This window comes from Homo sapiens, chromosome 2 (assembly GCF_000001405.40).
Source record: "Homo sapiens chromosome 2, GRCh38.p14 Primary Assembly".
Classification (NCBI taxonomy): Eukaryota; Metazoa; Chordata; class Mammalia; order Primates; family Hominidae; genus Homo; species Homo sapiens.
Window position 1 is genome coordinate 171,513,473 of NC_000002.12, and position 14,505 is coordinate 171,527,977.

The 14,505-nt window shown below is 47.1% G+C and overlaps 1 protein-coding gene and 1 pseudogene across 3 annotated transcripts in view, besides 4 other annotated features; one reads left to right on the plus strand and one right to left on the minus strand.

Moving 5' to 3' along the window:
- Positions 207 to 680: a transcriptional cis regulatory region, noted in NCBI's record as "candidate enhancer chr2.5458 targeted for multiplex CRISPR interference". NCBI's record gives its function as "positively regulates CYBRD1 gene expression with high confidence in K562 cells {active_cell/tissue: K562}" and the evidence as "EXISTENCE:mutant phenotype evidence [ECO:0000015][PMID:30612741]".
- RPS15P4 (ribosomal protein S15 pseudogene 4) lies at positions 3,766 to 4,265 on the minus strand (annotated as a pseudogene).
- The window catches only part of CYBRD1 (cytochrome b reductase 1), a 35,897-nt gene continuing 30,152 nt past the window's right edge, over positions 8,761 to 14,505 (plus strand). For 2 of the 3 annotated variants that reach the window (NM_024843.4, NM_001127383.2), the window contains exon 1: positions 9,002 to 9,266. In NM_024843.4, coding sequence (NP_079119.3) covers positions 9,074 to 9,266 — 193 coding nt within the window. In that variant the 5' untranslated portion in view covers positions 9,002 to 9,073. Of the gene's footprint in view, positions 8,820 to 9,001; positions 9,267 to 14,505 lie in introns of those variants that run through there. The other variant, NM_001256909.2, reaches the window with a different exon arrangement.
- Positions 9,091 to 9,200: an enhancer, noted in NCBI's record as "active region_16758". NCBI's record gives its function as "activates an Ori minimal core promoter by ATAC-STARR-seq in GM12878 lymphoblastoid cells {active_cell/tissue: GM12878}" and the evidence as "EXISTENCE:reporter gene assay evidence [ECO:0000049][PMID:35858748]".
- Positions 9,311 to 9,420: a silencer, noted in NCBI's record as "silent region_12103". NCBI's record gives its function as "represses an Ori minimal core promoter by ATAC-STARR-seq in GM12878 lymphoblastoid cells {active_cell/tissue: GM12878}" and the evidence as "EXISTENCE:reporter gene assay evidence [ECO:0000049][PMID:35858748]".
- Positions 9,571 to 9,640: a silencer, noted in NCBI's record as "silent region_12104". NCBI's record gives its function as "represses an Ori minimal core promoter by ATAC-STARR-seq in GM12878 lymphoblastoid cells {active_cell/tissue: GM12878}" and the evidence as "EXISTENCE:reporter gene assay evidence [ECO:0000049][PMID:35858748]".

A 14,505-nucleotide genomic window follows, 5' to 3' on the forward strand; every position in this document is an offset into this window, starting at 1 on the left:
ACTGCACTCCAGCCTGCGCAACAGAGCAAGACTCCGTCTCAAAAAAAAAAAAAAAGTTCTCCAAAGGTAAAACAATGTTTCTGGCTACTCTATAATAATCGTATAACCCAGTTCTTACATACTAAAATGTGCCATCCAAACAGTCCAATGTCGTAAAATTTGGTTATAAGAAAAATGTGCCAGGGCATTTCTTTCCTTGCTAATTCTCTGTCTTAGGCTCTCTAAACTTCTCATCAGTCTGTCAGCCAGTCAGTGCTTGAATGTGTTTTTAACGGCCTCTTCTCTGTTGACAACTGTTCTAGGCTATGTTAACTATTTGTCTGTATTCTTAGATCTCTGGCATGTGGAGCCTTGTGGACCTGGGGAACCACTCCTCCCAGAGTTAACTAATTCCTAGAGATAAGAATTTGCCTGCCAGCACATCTTTGATATGCAGACCAACCAATTAGGGTTCCACGCCCCAACCTACCTGCTTTTATCAGATCACTACAGGCCCTGCTGAAGTTATTTAAACTGTCCAATCATAAGGTTGTTCTGCTTGCTTACTTTGCTTTCCCCTTTCCTCTTTTCAAAAGCCACAATAAAGGCTTCTGCCCTTTCTGCCTGCTCATCTGGCTTCGGTGCTTCCCTATGTGGCCCTGCCTGCCATGCCTTGCCTCCTGTTTCTAGGGGACTGTGAACATAAAAAACCTCCTTCCTTCATGGCATTTTGTGTCTGTGTGTTGTACTATATCTGCTCAAAACAATTTCCAGGTAAATTTTTAGACAATAGGCTGGAAGAACAGCAGCAAGTAAGACACACCAAATCTGTCTTTGAAAAGCTGAAGATCCTTGAAGGAGCTTATATTTTAGCCTAGGGTTTATACATTTGCATGAGCGAGGGCTCTAAAATAAATAGAACCTAGATGTGATCAAGCACCATCCTTTTCTTCCCCATCTGGCTATTTTCTGCTAACATATGGGATAAAGGTAGTAGATGAGAATTGGGGAATCAAGGATTTAATCCTAATTCTCTTTTGCCTGGATAAAGACCAGACTCTGCCTAGAGCACACTCCACCTACTAATGCCTAGGCTGGGGAGAAACGACCAGGATGGGGTCCTTTTAATTTTATCTTGCCACATGATTAGGAAGATGCAAGATGATTAGGAATAGGTGTGGTGACTCACACCTGTAATCCCAGCACTTTGGGAGGCTGAAGCAGGAGGATCCCTTGAGTCCAGGAGTTCAAGATCAGCCTGGGCAATATAGGGAAACTCTGTTTCTATAAAAAATTTTAAAAATTAGCTGGGTGTGCTGGCACACACCTGTACTCCCAGTTACTCTAGAGACTGAGGTGGGAGGATTGCTTGAGCCCAGGAGTTTGAGGCTGGAGTGAGCTGTGATCATGCCACTGCATTTCAGCCTAGGTGACAGTGGGAGAGCCTGTCTCAAAAGAAAAAAAAAAAGGAGGGGGAGGGAGATGATTAGGAAGACTTACCAATGTCTTTCCTGAGTGCTTCCTGCCTTACCAGTTTTCCTTAAACCAAACTTGCACTGGATGGTGACGGAAGTGTGAAAGCAAAGTAACTCTTGGGGCCCCCAAATCACTCAGCTAAAGGGAAAAGTCAAGCTGGGAACTGCTTAGGGCAAACCTGCCTCTCTATTCTATCCAGTCATCCCTCTGCTCACTGAGATAAATGCATATCTGATTGCCTCCTTTGAAAAGGCTAATCAGAAACTTTAAAAAATGCAAATTTCTATAATCTGGAAGCCCCTCCCCATTTTTAGTTGTCCTGCCTTTCCAGACCAAACCAATGTACATCTTACATATATTAATTAATGTCTCATGTCTCCCTAAAATGTGTAAAACCAAGCTGTGCCCCAACCACCTTGGGCACATGTCGTCAGGACCTCGTGAGGCTATGACATGGGCACATGTCCTTAACCTTGGCAAAATAAACTTTCCAAATTGACTGGGACCTGTCTCAGATACTTGGAGTTCACAGAAGTATTTAAAATTTAAATGGAGGATCAGGCAGATCTTACAAAGCAGTATAGTGTGGAGGGAACAGAAGTCATGCCTAGGTCTAACCTACTCTTCTTCCCATGCTCTTCTTCTCCCATGCTCCCCACGTAGCACAAAAGAGGCTGTACTGAATTAGACATTTTGCTGGAATGCCTCTCAAAGATGCTCTGCTCACTCCCCATTCTCCCAGATACCTTCCTCTTATCCTTGTGTCTGCTTGTCAGTCCAGTGTCTTACTCTGTTCCCTTAGTAAGAGAGTTTCTTCCTGCCTCTTCTCAAAGGAAGAGGCTATGGACCAATACAAATGAAACCTTCCACTGCCCCAGCCCTGCCCACGTGGGGCAGGTGGACCCAGAGCCTCTTGAATTGGAGAACTGGTAGAGGGCTGCTTCCACAGCCAGTATCCCCACAGTGAGAGCAGAAGCTAATCTCTCCAGTTCCCTCAGAGGAAAAATCCCTCAGCAATGCAGGTGTTTGTTTTAGACAACACAGTCCAGCCTTACATGAAGAAAGTTTATTCCCCCCATTTAACATGGGTTTGGCTATGTTCTCTTCAAAGCAGTAATCCTTGCTTTATTTCATCAAGAAGCCTCTGACCACTCTGGGGCTTGGCTTGCCTCATGAGTCATGGTGCCGGCAGGGAGTTCCTTTGTCTTGGTCATCTGGGGCAGCTTTCTGGTCCAAATCTTTTTTTTTTTTTTAGGCGGAGTTTCACTCTTATTGTCCAGGCTGGAGTGCAATGGCACGATCTTGGCTCACTGCAACCTCCGCCTCCTGGGTTCAAGCGGTTCTCCTGCCTCAGCCTCCCAAGTAGCTGGAATTACAGGCACCCACCTGGCTAATCTTTTGTATTTTTAGGAGAGATGGGGCTTCACTATGTTAGCCAGGCTAGTCTCGAGCTCCTGACCTCGTGATCCACCCACCTCTGCCTCCCAAAGTGCTCGGATTACAGGCGTGAGCCACTGTGCCCAGCCACTGGTCCAAATCTCTTAACCAGAAGAAGGGAGGAAAAGAGAAAGTGGGAAGGGAAAGCATGTGAGTTCATCCCTCCTGCCTGTGATTTTCTCACACTGCGTCCGTTCCTCCATTCATCATATGTCTTCAGAAGGCATGAACAAAAGGCTAGGAGAACAGTAGTATCAGGTCAGAATATTTCCCCACTTGTATCTGGTCTTGCAAGAAATAGCTGGTTTGCACAAAGGATTTAATTGAAGTGAGTTTAATAAATGGACTATTAACAGAGGTGCAACAGCCTTAAGGGAACTCGGCAAAGAGTGGTGAAGAACCAGGGACAAGCACAGCAGGAAGCCAATGCCACTCATAGACGCGTAGAAGCAAGTGGTGATGGTGTTACTGGACCCCTGTGAGAGCCACAGCTGTGGAGAAGGGAACACTTGAAAGTCCCGTGGCAAAGAGGAATGCAGCCACTGCAAAACCATGTCCCAACAAGGAGTCACAGTGGGATAAATAGGCTGACCTGGCTTCCTGCCTTCTAATCCCCAGTCAGCACCAGCCATCAGCCAAACCCAATTGGAAGCCAGAGGACAAGGAGAGTCAGATGACACAGTTGTAGGCGTCAGCCTCCCAGAGCACAAGCCAAGGCAAAGGGTGGAGAGTGGAGGGGAAAACAGAGAGGAACCAACACACAGTCAACAATCAGAAGTGAAAAATGTTCGGCTTATCCCACAAAGCAAACCACTGTGTGCAGCTTATTACGACTTTCTGTTAGCATACTGGACTTCTTTTTTTTTTTTTTTTTGGAGTCATGTGCGCCTTTATTAGCTGAGCCATTACTTGAGAGGGATGAAGCGGGAGGAGTGGGTGGCCCCGATGCCGGGCCGGCCGTGCTTTACGGGCTTGTAGGTGATGGAGAACTCGCCCAGGTAGTGGCCGATCATCTCGGGCTTGATCTCCACCTGGTTGAAGGTCTTGCCGTTGTAGACGCCCACCATGCTGCCCACCATCTCGGGTAGGATGATCATGTCCCGCAGGTGCGTCTTCACCACTTCCTGCTTCTCCATGGGCGGCGCCTCCTTCTTGGCCTTGCGCAGGCGCTTCAGCAGGGAGTGCTGCTTCCGCCGCAGGCCCCGGTTCAGCCGCCGCCGCTGGCGCGCACTGTACAGCTGCATCGGCTGCTCCAGCTGCTCGTAGGACATGTCCAGCAGCTGGTCCAGGTCCACGCCGCGGTAGGTGAACTTGCGGAAGGTCCGCTTCTTCTTCTGCTCTACTTCTGCCATCTTGCCGGATCCTCAGAAGAGCAGCATACTGGACTTCTGTATGCACCAGAAGAAATGCAACATTATTTTGTGGAAGTTCAAAAGACAGATGGCATCTAGGGCTCCCAGTGCCTCATCTCCTGATGGGTGGGATTTGGATTTTCTTTCCACAACCCTCACAACATGTCTTCTTACTCTACATTCTACATCTGTGTGAGGGACAAAAAATTCTGCATGAGCATGTTTCTAGCATCTAGGTGTTTTTTTTGTTTGTTTTTTTTTTTTTTTTTTTTTTTTTGAGACAGAGTCTCGCTCTGTCGCCCAGGCTGGAGTGCAGTGGCGTGATCTCGTCTCACTGCAAGCTCCGCCTCCCTGGTTCACGCCATTCTCCTGCCTCAGCCTCCCGAGTAGCTGGGACTACAGGTGCCTGCCACCACGTCTGGCCAATTTTTTGTATTTTTAGTAGAGACAGGGTTTCACCGTGTTAGCCAGGATGGTCTCGATCTCCTGACCTCAAGATCTGCCCGCCTTGGCCTCCCAAAGTGCTGGGATTACAGGCGTGAGCCACTGCGCCCGGCCAGCTTCTAGGTTTTTAGGAAGGCCATCTTCTTCAATGCTCTCCCCCACCTGCTACATCAGGAATCACCCAACAGCATTGCTGACAGGTTATTGAGTCTGATTAGGTACTTTGGTGACAAACTGCTTACAATCTCCAGAGGGAAACTTCTATCATTTAACAACTCTGTTTTAAAAAAGTTCACAGGCAGGGGTGGTGGCTCATGCCTATAATGCCAGCACTTTGGGCCGCCAAGGCAGGTGGATCTCCTGAGCTCAGGAGTTTGAGACCAGCCTGAGCAACATGATGAAACCCCCTTTCTACCAAACATACAAAAATTAGCCAGGCATGGTGACACACGCCTGTGGTCCCAGCTACTTGGGAGGCTGAGGCAGGAGGGTGAGTCCAGGAGGTGGAGGCTGCAGTGAGCCAAGATCATGCCACTGCACTCCAATCTGGGTGACAGAGTGGGACCCTGTCTCAAAAAGAAAAATAATTAATTAATTAATTAAAAGGTTAACAGTAAGCCACAACAATGTTTATTGAAAAATTTCCCCTTCTCAGTGACAGTTTTATTTAATATCAAAGTTAGGTTCTTAAAAGATAATTTAAAAGTTGAAATTCTCTCAGTTTTACATATAACTTCAAGATGATTCAACACCATTGGTACCATTTGGCCATGTTTTCATCCTCCCGAAATGTTTTGTTAAATGGGGTCTGGAATCCCAGAGATTCTCATCTGCTGCTGCTATGAAGCAAAATTAACTCAAGAGTGGAGTGAAGGTGTTAGGTCAATGGGGTGAAAACATTAATTGAGGACAAAGACTAGATACTTTTAGGGAGAGGGATAGGGATACAATGATGTCATTATAGAATTACAAGCTAAAGTTCGCAAAGGAAAAGAATCAGTGTAAGATGAAACAGGCAATGTTTGCAGCACTCAGGAACCAAAAAAAGGTCTGAAAAAATAAAACCGGAAGATTCAGGGATAGTTTCCTTTTATTCCTAGGGATCCGCTCTCACTCTTCTCTCTTCTGCTCTGTGCCCTAAGTTGACCTGGGATGGATACATGGACTGCCCTGTGGCTTCTGATTAGGTTCTGGTTAGCCCCTGGGACACCCTAGGCAGAAGATCAGAGGGGAGAAGAGTAAGGCTGGAATATTTATCTGCTTCCATCTTTCTCCCTATGAGGTCTCTGCAGGCTGGCTGCATCCCTGTACTCAAGGCCTCTATCGGACTTCCCCCTCCGCACAATTTTCTCTCTGGATTCCAGTAATTCTCTGCCCTTCAGACCTGGGGCACTGCCTAACCCTGAGGTTTCCTACACTGCCCACAACTTCATAAACAGTCTTGTTCATTATGAAATTACTCAATTCCAATATGCTGTTTGTTTTCTGCCAGGACCCTGATTAACACACTCAGTCTCATTAGCCTCCCAACACATGTTTATTGAGTAACTACCACATCCCAAGGAGGAATAAAATGATCAATTAGAGAATCAATGCCTTCAATAGGGCAGTCTGAGAGTGGAGACAGCCAGAGAAGCAGATCCTTATATTACATCCTGACAGGTGACACAAGGAGGCACTGGATGGGGAGGTCAGTGGGATATAAAAGTCTGGGCAGGGGCAGACTCAGGGAAGGTTTCTCAGTGGAGATGGGGGTCAGGGAAATTTAGAGGCAGTGGCGTGGGTAGGAAGTGGTCAGAAGCTGCCAGAGCAGTTTACAGCCAAGGACATCAGGGCCAGTCAGGTTGTGGTAAGAGACTGGCAGGGGGTGCTAGGCTGGACCAGATCAAAGAAAGCCTTGTGCTGGGGAAAGGTATCCTTCTCTTCCATTTGCTTACTCTCCCCACCAAGGGAAAAATAATGACACAGGTGAGGTCTACAGCCTTTTACTCTGAGCCCTTAATCCTGCCCTACTACCATGGCTTGCCACTCCTATTTCCTTAGCCTGCTTTGAAAATCATCCCCGTATACTTCCTGCACATTCTAAGGTCTTTCAAGACGGCAACAAGACAATATAGCAAAGTAGTCCTTGGAGATGAGCTACAGAAGAGGGCTAGAAGTGAACGTTCCCAAATGCATTCTGGAAGCCCTGGCAGTCAGAACCCTTTTTCTTATAATAGCATTAGATAATGCTGACATTGTTTTTGTCCAGTGGAGAAGGGTGAGGATAATGTTGGAAAGAGGGCAGGGAGCAAGCTTCACTTCATCAAGGAGGGGCTTTGGTTCAAATTGGTTTGGGTGGGCGGGCACTTTGAAAATCCATTTGTCACACTAAACGGCAAGTCCAGGTCCAGGAGGTTCCTGTCTTCCCTCTCTCAAGAGCAAACTGCAAGTAGTTTCATTGCAGGATAAGGCCAAGCCCACCGCTGCCCATGCTGTTTTTGTTTTGTTTCCAGACAGAGTCTAGCTGTCACCAGGCTGCAGTGCAGTGGTGCGATCATACCTCTCCTGAGCTCAAGTGATTCTCTTGCCTCCACCTCCCAAAGCCCTGGGATTACAGCTGTGAGACACCTCATGGGGACCCGGTTTACTGGGTTTTTTTTGTTTTTTGTTTTTTGTTTTTTTTTGAGACAGAGTCTCACTTTGTCACCCAAGCTGAAGTGCAGTGGTGCAACCTCAGCTCACTGCAGCCTCGACCTTCTGGGCTCAAGTGATCCTCCTTCCTCAGTCCCCCAAGTAGCTGGGGCTACAGGTGCATGCATTTGTATTTTCAGTAGAGACAGGGTTTCACCTTGTTGCCCAGGCTGTTCTCAAACTCCTGGACTCAAGTGATCTGCCCGCCTTAGCCTCCCAAAGTGCTAAGATTACAGGTGTGAGGCACTGCGCCTGGCCTTTACTGTTAACTTAAAACAAAAAATTATAAATTTGAAAAAAGAGGAGACTTTATTTCTTATAAAAGGTTATAGCCTGCAAGGAGGCCATTCCATAGGCTGATAAACATAGCCTCTGGCCTAAGACCAGAGACAGGCACTTGGAAGGCAGAGGGGTTGGGGTAGGAGCTTTATGCTGAACAGTTTGGCCAAACATACATACGTAACAGGTTACAGGAGGAGCTATGAATATTAATGGAGGTGGTCCTTACACATGCATATTGAACAAACATGCATGTAACATGTTCTCTTTGGGGTGGAGACTTAACATTTAATTGTATTACTTCAAATACATTTAAATGTATTACTTCAAACCTACACTTCAAAAGGTCTTTTCAGGACGTGAATGCATACAAGTGCACAATCCCTGTACACTGGCCAGAACCGGTCCATGGTCGGTCTTCTTATCATGAAAAAGTTCCTGAAATCAGCCCAGTGAAAGCTGTAGTTCTGGCTGGTGCAACAGGGGTTCAGCTGGTCAGCATCTGTGAACTGATTAAGTTGTAATTGTTTTAATATTGCTTATCTCAAGCCAGTGCTTGTTTAGCCTCTAGAGGAAAAGAAAACCTTTGTGGCAGTTAGACCATAGTTTATTTCTTAAGTGTAGGAGTGTGTGACTTAGGTCCTTTTTATAATTTGATGTCTTATTGCTACAAAGAGTCTGTTCTGTCCGCCTTATGATTTCTATTTTAAACATTAATGCTAGTCAGCTGTTGAGTCTAAATTCCAAAATGGAGGGGGTAGACTTCCCTTCCGGCTGTAGCTAGAAACTCAGCTTTAAGGTTTTTCTGGGGTCTGCTTGGCCAAGGAGGTCCATTCAGTCAGTGAGGGGCTTAGGATTTTATTTTTAGTTTACACCACCTTACAGGTTCCTCCTTAACACCCTTTGATGTCAGAGACAGCCAATTCTCCAGCACTGTGGCTAAGGAGGCTTCGTTAGTAGTTAAAAGCACACACATAACCCTACCCAACGGATCCCTCTCTTCTCTTAACCAAGAGGGCGCACCACTGCCCTACTCAACCTCCCCACAAATAAGGACGAGACACGGGAAGTGTTAAAAGCAAGTGGTGAGTATAAAATCCTCGGAATTTTCTCTTTGAGCAACTAACTAGGTCTGTTACTGAAGCCCTCTGCGAGCTTGGATGCTGGACGAGGGAGAGGGTGAGGCCACCAGGCAATGAGCGCCCTCGGCGGCCGCGTGATCCCGGGGGTGGGGCCCATTTCTGAGTTGGGGCCAGCTCCCCACCCCCAAGAGGCCCCACATTCCGGGCCAGCAGCCCAGAAAGTCCCTCCCCGCAGGCGGAGACAGCCCCAAGAAGTCGACGCCCCGGTCCCGCCGCCCGGCCACTACCCAGAGGGCTGCCGCCGCCTCTCCAAGTTCTTGTGGCCCCCGCGGTGCGGAGTATGGGGCGCTGATGGCCATGGAGGGCTACTGGCGCTTCCTGGCGCTGCTGGGGTCGGCACTGCTCGTCGGCTTCCTGTCGGTGATCTTCGCCCTCGTCTGGGTCCTCCACTACCGAGAGGGGCTTGGCTGGGATGGGAGCGCACTAGAGTTTAACTGGCACCCAGTGCTCATGGTCACCGGCTTCGTCTTCATCCAGGGCATCGGTACTGGCACCTCCTGGGGGGGTGCGGGGAGGAAAGCGGGGAGAACGGCGGGGGCAGAGGGTCCTCCGTGAAGCCCCTTCCAGCTGAGGAAGTGCTGGAGGATCGCGGGGCCCGGAGGAGTGCGGTGAGGAGCGCGCGGGAAGCCAAGTCGGCTGGGCGGGAGGGAGGCTGGCTGGCTCTGGGGCGGGACAGAGCTGCGGTTCAGGAGGATCGCCGCGAGCGCGGGGCCGGGGGTGCGCGGTGGAGACGCGCTGCTGGGGGCGGCGGAGCGGGGCCGGCCCCACTTGGTTAACTCTTTGCGGCGACTGGCTAGGACGCACTGGAGGGGCCTCCAAGACCCAGAAACTTGAGCCCGGGCGCGATGCCGGAGCGCCGCGCAGTCGGGCCGCTGCAGCCCACGCGCCCCGGAAAGTCGCCCCTGTGGACCGAGCCTGCGCGATCGGGGGCGCGGAAACACTTTCGCCTCAGCCTTTTGCTGAACTTGCTTCCAGGCTGCAGATGAGGAGGGGAAGGCAGCGGGGAAAAGATTGCCGGAGCGAGAATTTGCCCGTATTTGTAACATCCTCGGCCCTGGGTAAAGGGGCTGGCCAAGGGGGGCGAGTGAAGCATCCGCCCTGGGTTCCTCTCCTCCTAGAGTGTTAAACTCAGTCGAGTCCGGGAAGCTGCCAGGACTTCCAAGTGTGTTTCGCCGCCCTGCCCAGTCATTGGACGGTCTTGAGCCCGACTTGTTTATGTGGCAGAAGAGTGGCGAAAGTTCCCCCGCGGGGCTTCCTATTGGGCACTGGCCCAGCACTCCGGGTGGGAGATGCCCGGAGAGGGCCCGCGGCTGCCTGGCACCGAGGGATGCCTCTGCTCGGGATGCCCCCGGCGCAAGCTGCGTCCGTGTTTGGCCCGCGGCGAGCCAGCCCCGGGCCTGCATTCTCTGGGCTGAGGCTGGCGCGGGGGAGGGGCTCAGCAGTCGCTGGCAATGTTTGTTGTCATTGTGTAGTGCCTCTCAATGTCCTGACTGCTTCCTTCGGTTTGCCGTGTAGCTGGAGGAACCTCTAGCTTTTGGCGCAAACACCATTTATTTGTAACCACTTCCCCAAAGGCACGGCCTTCAGAAAGTAGTTAGAGAAAGGCAGCAAGGGGTGGAGTGGTGTTATGTCGCAGAAAATAATCGAGAGGAGTAGCAAGGGTTTGGAAAGATATGCCCACTGGCCGAAATCTCTAGCTTTGCCTGCGGGCAGGCTGCCTTTTCTTCACCAAATATTTAACTCCCCACAAACGAGTGTGCAAAAGAGTGCTGACCTCATTCCTAAAGAAAAGTGATTTTGGCTTTTGTTTTTGTTGGTTGTTTTAAACTTGTACTGCAGCTTTGGCAAGTGTGGCCAGCATTCTCCCACTCTGGAATGTAGTGGAAGGTGTTACTAACCCTCAGCATTCAAAGGCTTCCCTGGTGTGAGATCGGCATCAGGGTGTGAGATCGGCATCAGGGTGTGAGCACCACTGGGCACCTAAGGCATTTCGTTGCGTAACTCTCAGTTATTTTGCCACTATGCTTATAAGAAAAAAACATACTCAAGTTCCAAAGTAACTGTCAGAAGCACTCTTTCCTTCGTGGTGGAGCCCTTAAGTTTGGCCCCGAGCTGTCTACACCTTGTTTGCTCAAAGAGTAGAGCCAGTCTCCTCTTCTACCCAACTCTTCAGAGCAGCTTCTAATACCAAAAAGCTTTCTGGAGGTCTTGGAATATCTTCTCATAATTGAGGGTAAGGGAAACACAAGTGTTATTGCTCGTTGCCTGACTTGCCACAGAGGAGAAGACATCAGAATGGCTAATAGTGATTGCATGCTGTGTGTCCACTAAGTGCATTATGTCACATCACATGTATGTAAGAGTAAACTGAGGCAGAGAAGTTATGTAACTTACCCATGAAAGTTGTTTTAAGTCTTTTCAGTGACCTTATCGTCAAAGTTGGATTCTCTGCTTTTATGGCAATATGCTTATTTTCTGCCAAATCTTTTTAGACAGCGAAAACCTTCATCTAAAATATGTTTTGAAACTCTTCATTCATGTTAGAGTCCAATATACGGTTTTCTAAAAGGTTTTTAAATTTCTCTAAACTTTGTACTTCTCTTAATCTGTTCATACTTAACTCTTGGACAAAAATGTGTAAATTTTGGCAATTTTCATCTGCTGCTCTTACGAAAATCTTGTTTCTTTTTTTCTTTCTTTCAAGACGTAGTCTTGCTCTGTCGCCCAGGCTGGAGTGCAGTGGCGCAATCTTGGCTCACTGCAACCTCCACCTCCCAGGTTCAAGCAATTCTCCTGCCCCAGCCTCCCCAGTAGCTGGGATTACAGATGCCTACCACCACGCCCAGCTAATTTTTGTATTTTTAGTAGAGACGGGGTTTCACCATGTTGGCCAGGCTGGCCTCGAATTCCTGACCTCAAGTGATCCGCCTACCTCGGCCCCCCAGACTGCTGAGATTACAGACGTGAGCCACAGTACCCGGCCGATCTTGTTTTCTTTAGGTTCAATTACTGTATTTGTATCAATGGTCCAGAGTTTGTCCCGTCATTACTCATCCTGTTTCCTGTTTGGATCCTGGATGTGCAAATCACTTTAATCATAATGCATTTAATTGACATGAGCATAAATGTTTTCATACATGTAGGCACATGTATAGTTCTCCCCAGTTCTTCCATATCTTGGCCAACCCATCCACATTCCTCACCCTAAGTATTAGGAAGGCTCCAGTGGAAGGAGGGGGAGTAATAAATAAACTTTATAGGCTGCGAGGGACCCACATGTTACAGACTCGCCATGTTATAACAGACTTTTTTACCGTGTGTGATTGCTGCAAGGAGGAAAATTTTAGGCTATGAGATTTCAAATCTCTAACAAAGAACACGATGTATTGGAGTTCTTCTCTTCTGTAATACACAAATATTTGGAGATGAAGAAGAGAAGGCTAAAGTACAGTTATTACTCTAAGTATAAAATGCTTTAGAAATGCAATATACAAATAGTAAACAATATTTGAAACTAAGAACAAGTATGAGTCCTTTGAAACACCTTTAAGAAGTAGGCTCTGGGCCGGCACAGTCCAGCTACTTGGGAGGCTGAGGCAGGAGAATTGCTTGAACTCGGGAAACGGAGGTTGCGGTGAGTCGAGATCTTGCCATTGCACTTCAGCCTGGGCAACAAGAGCGAAACTCCCGTCTAAAAAAAAAAAAAAAAAAAAAAAAAGAAGTAGGCTCTGGCCGGGCACGGTGGCTTACGCCTATAATCCCAGCACTTTGGGAGGCTGAGGCGAGTGGATCCCCTGAGGTCAGGAGTTCGAGACCAGCCTGGCCAACATGGTGAAACACTGTCTCTACTAAAAATACGAAAATTAGCTGGGCGTGGTGGCAGGCACCTGTAATCCCAGGTACTCAGGAGTCTGAGACAGGAGAATTGCTTGAACCTGGGAGGTGGAGGTTGCAGTGAGCCAAGATTGTGCCACTGCACTGTAGCCTGGGCAACAGAGTGAGATTCTGTCTCGAAAAAAAAAGAGGGATAAACTCCAAAGAAGCAAAGCTAACATAGAAGTTACAAAACAAATCTCCCTCTCCTTCTTTATTCCCCTTTCCCTTTCTCGCTCACCCTCTCTCTCCTTGTCCCATTTTCTCCTCTGTGTCCCTCTCCCTTCCTTTCCCCCTCTCTCTCCCCTCCTTTCCCCCTCTCTCTCCCCACCTCCCATACTCCAAGTATATTTTGGAATATGTATATATTCTAAATTAAAGTATAACAGATCATGGGAAATCTAAAACTAAAATAAAATTTTAAACTAGTGGGAAATCTAGCTAACAGACTCTAACATGAATGAGGAAGGGTTTAGAAGAGGCTTTGTGCTTCTCTGAAAGAAATGTTTCCCATGAAATAAGTATACTACTAGGAAATCAGAGAAACGAACCTTGAAAAGAGGGCCACAGAAAAGACTGAAACAAATAAACGCTGTCAAAGTGGCTGTTGACCTTTTAAAAGGTTCAGCAAGGTGGAATGTGTTCTTTAGTGAAAGGTAGAAAATTCGGGTGTCTACATTTAGCGAAAAGAAGTCTTGGCAATTCTATATTCCTTCCTTTCCTGTGTAGAACTCCTTTTATTGTATAAACTGAAGGGAGAGAAATTAAATAGTCTAATGATCTCAAGTTGATTTCGTGAGATAATATAACTACCTTTAAGTAACATTTAAAAGACTAACAGAAATTAAGAGCAGTTCTTAAAAAACAGTTGGGATATCCTATTAATTTATCTAAAAGTGACCAAATTCCAAGATTACTTAAATAGACTTGAAAAGGCTCTTGGGGTAAAATCCAGCAAGTAAGATAACGGAGAAAGTGTCCCAAATACCTACTCTAAAAGAAGCTTCAGGGACACCATTGATAATAAATCCTATCAATATTAGCGATACAAGGGTTTTTACAAAGCGTAAAGAGATGATTTAAAGCAATTTTGTGACCAAAACCACAAAAAATATCCCCAACATATTTTTTGTTGTAAATAAATACACATAGATTTTTAAATAATGCAACCAATAAAAATGTTTTAGATATGACTGTGGTGCTCAGTGCTATATCCCCAGTACCTAGAATAACACTGAGAACTGGCACATGGTAGACGAGTAAGTGGTTGTTGAATGAATGAGTGATTATTTCTGTACCATCATTGAATTGTTAGTAACAAAATGCAGTTTACAGCCACTTACTTGTGACGATAACAATAGTGTCTAAAGTAAACACACCCTCGCTTTTCCCTAGTGATTCTCCTGTTCAGCCAGTTTAAAAGCACTGGCTTAGTCAACCTCCAGGAAGAATGGACATCATATTGCACTGGAAACGCATCTTTATTCTGAGGCCTCTAGCTGATGAGAATGTTGCTGCTTAAGTACAATCTGTACCTCCTCTTCCCTTCATCCCAGTTCTCCCTCCTTTTTCTGCATCATTAAGTTTCTCCCCCAACTGGCTTATTTCCAACATGTTATAATTTCTATCATCTTCGAAAACAAAACAAAGCAAAACAAAACAAAATCACTCTTGACCCTGTATATCCCTCAGCTACTGCCTCAGTTCTCTGCTTGCCTTACTATGAACTTTTGAAATTTTTGTCCATACCTGCAGTTTCTAGTTCCTTTCTTCCTGTTCTTTCTCGAGCCGGTTCCAATTAGGTTTTCATCTCCTGCTCCACCAAAATTGTGCTTAATATGGTAGCTAAT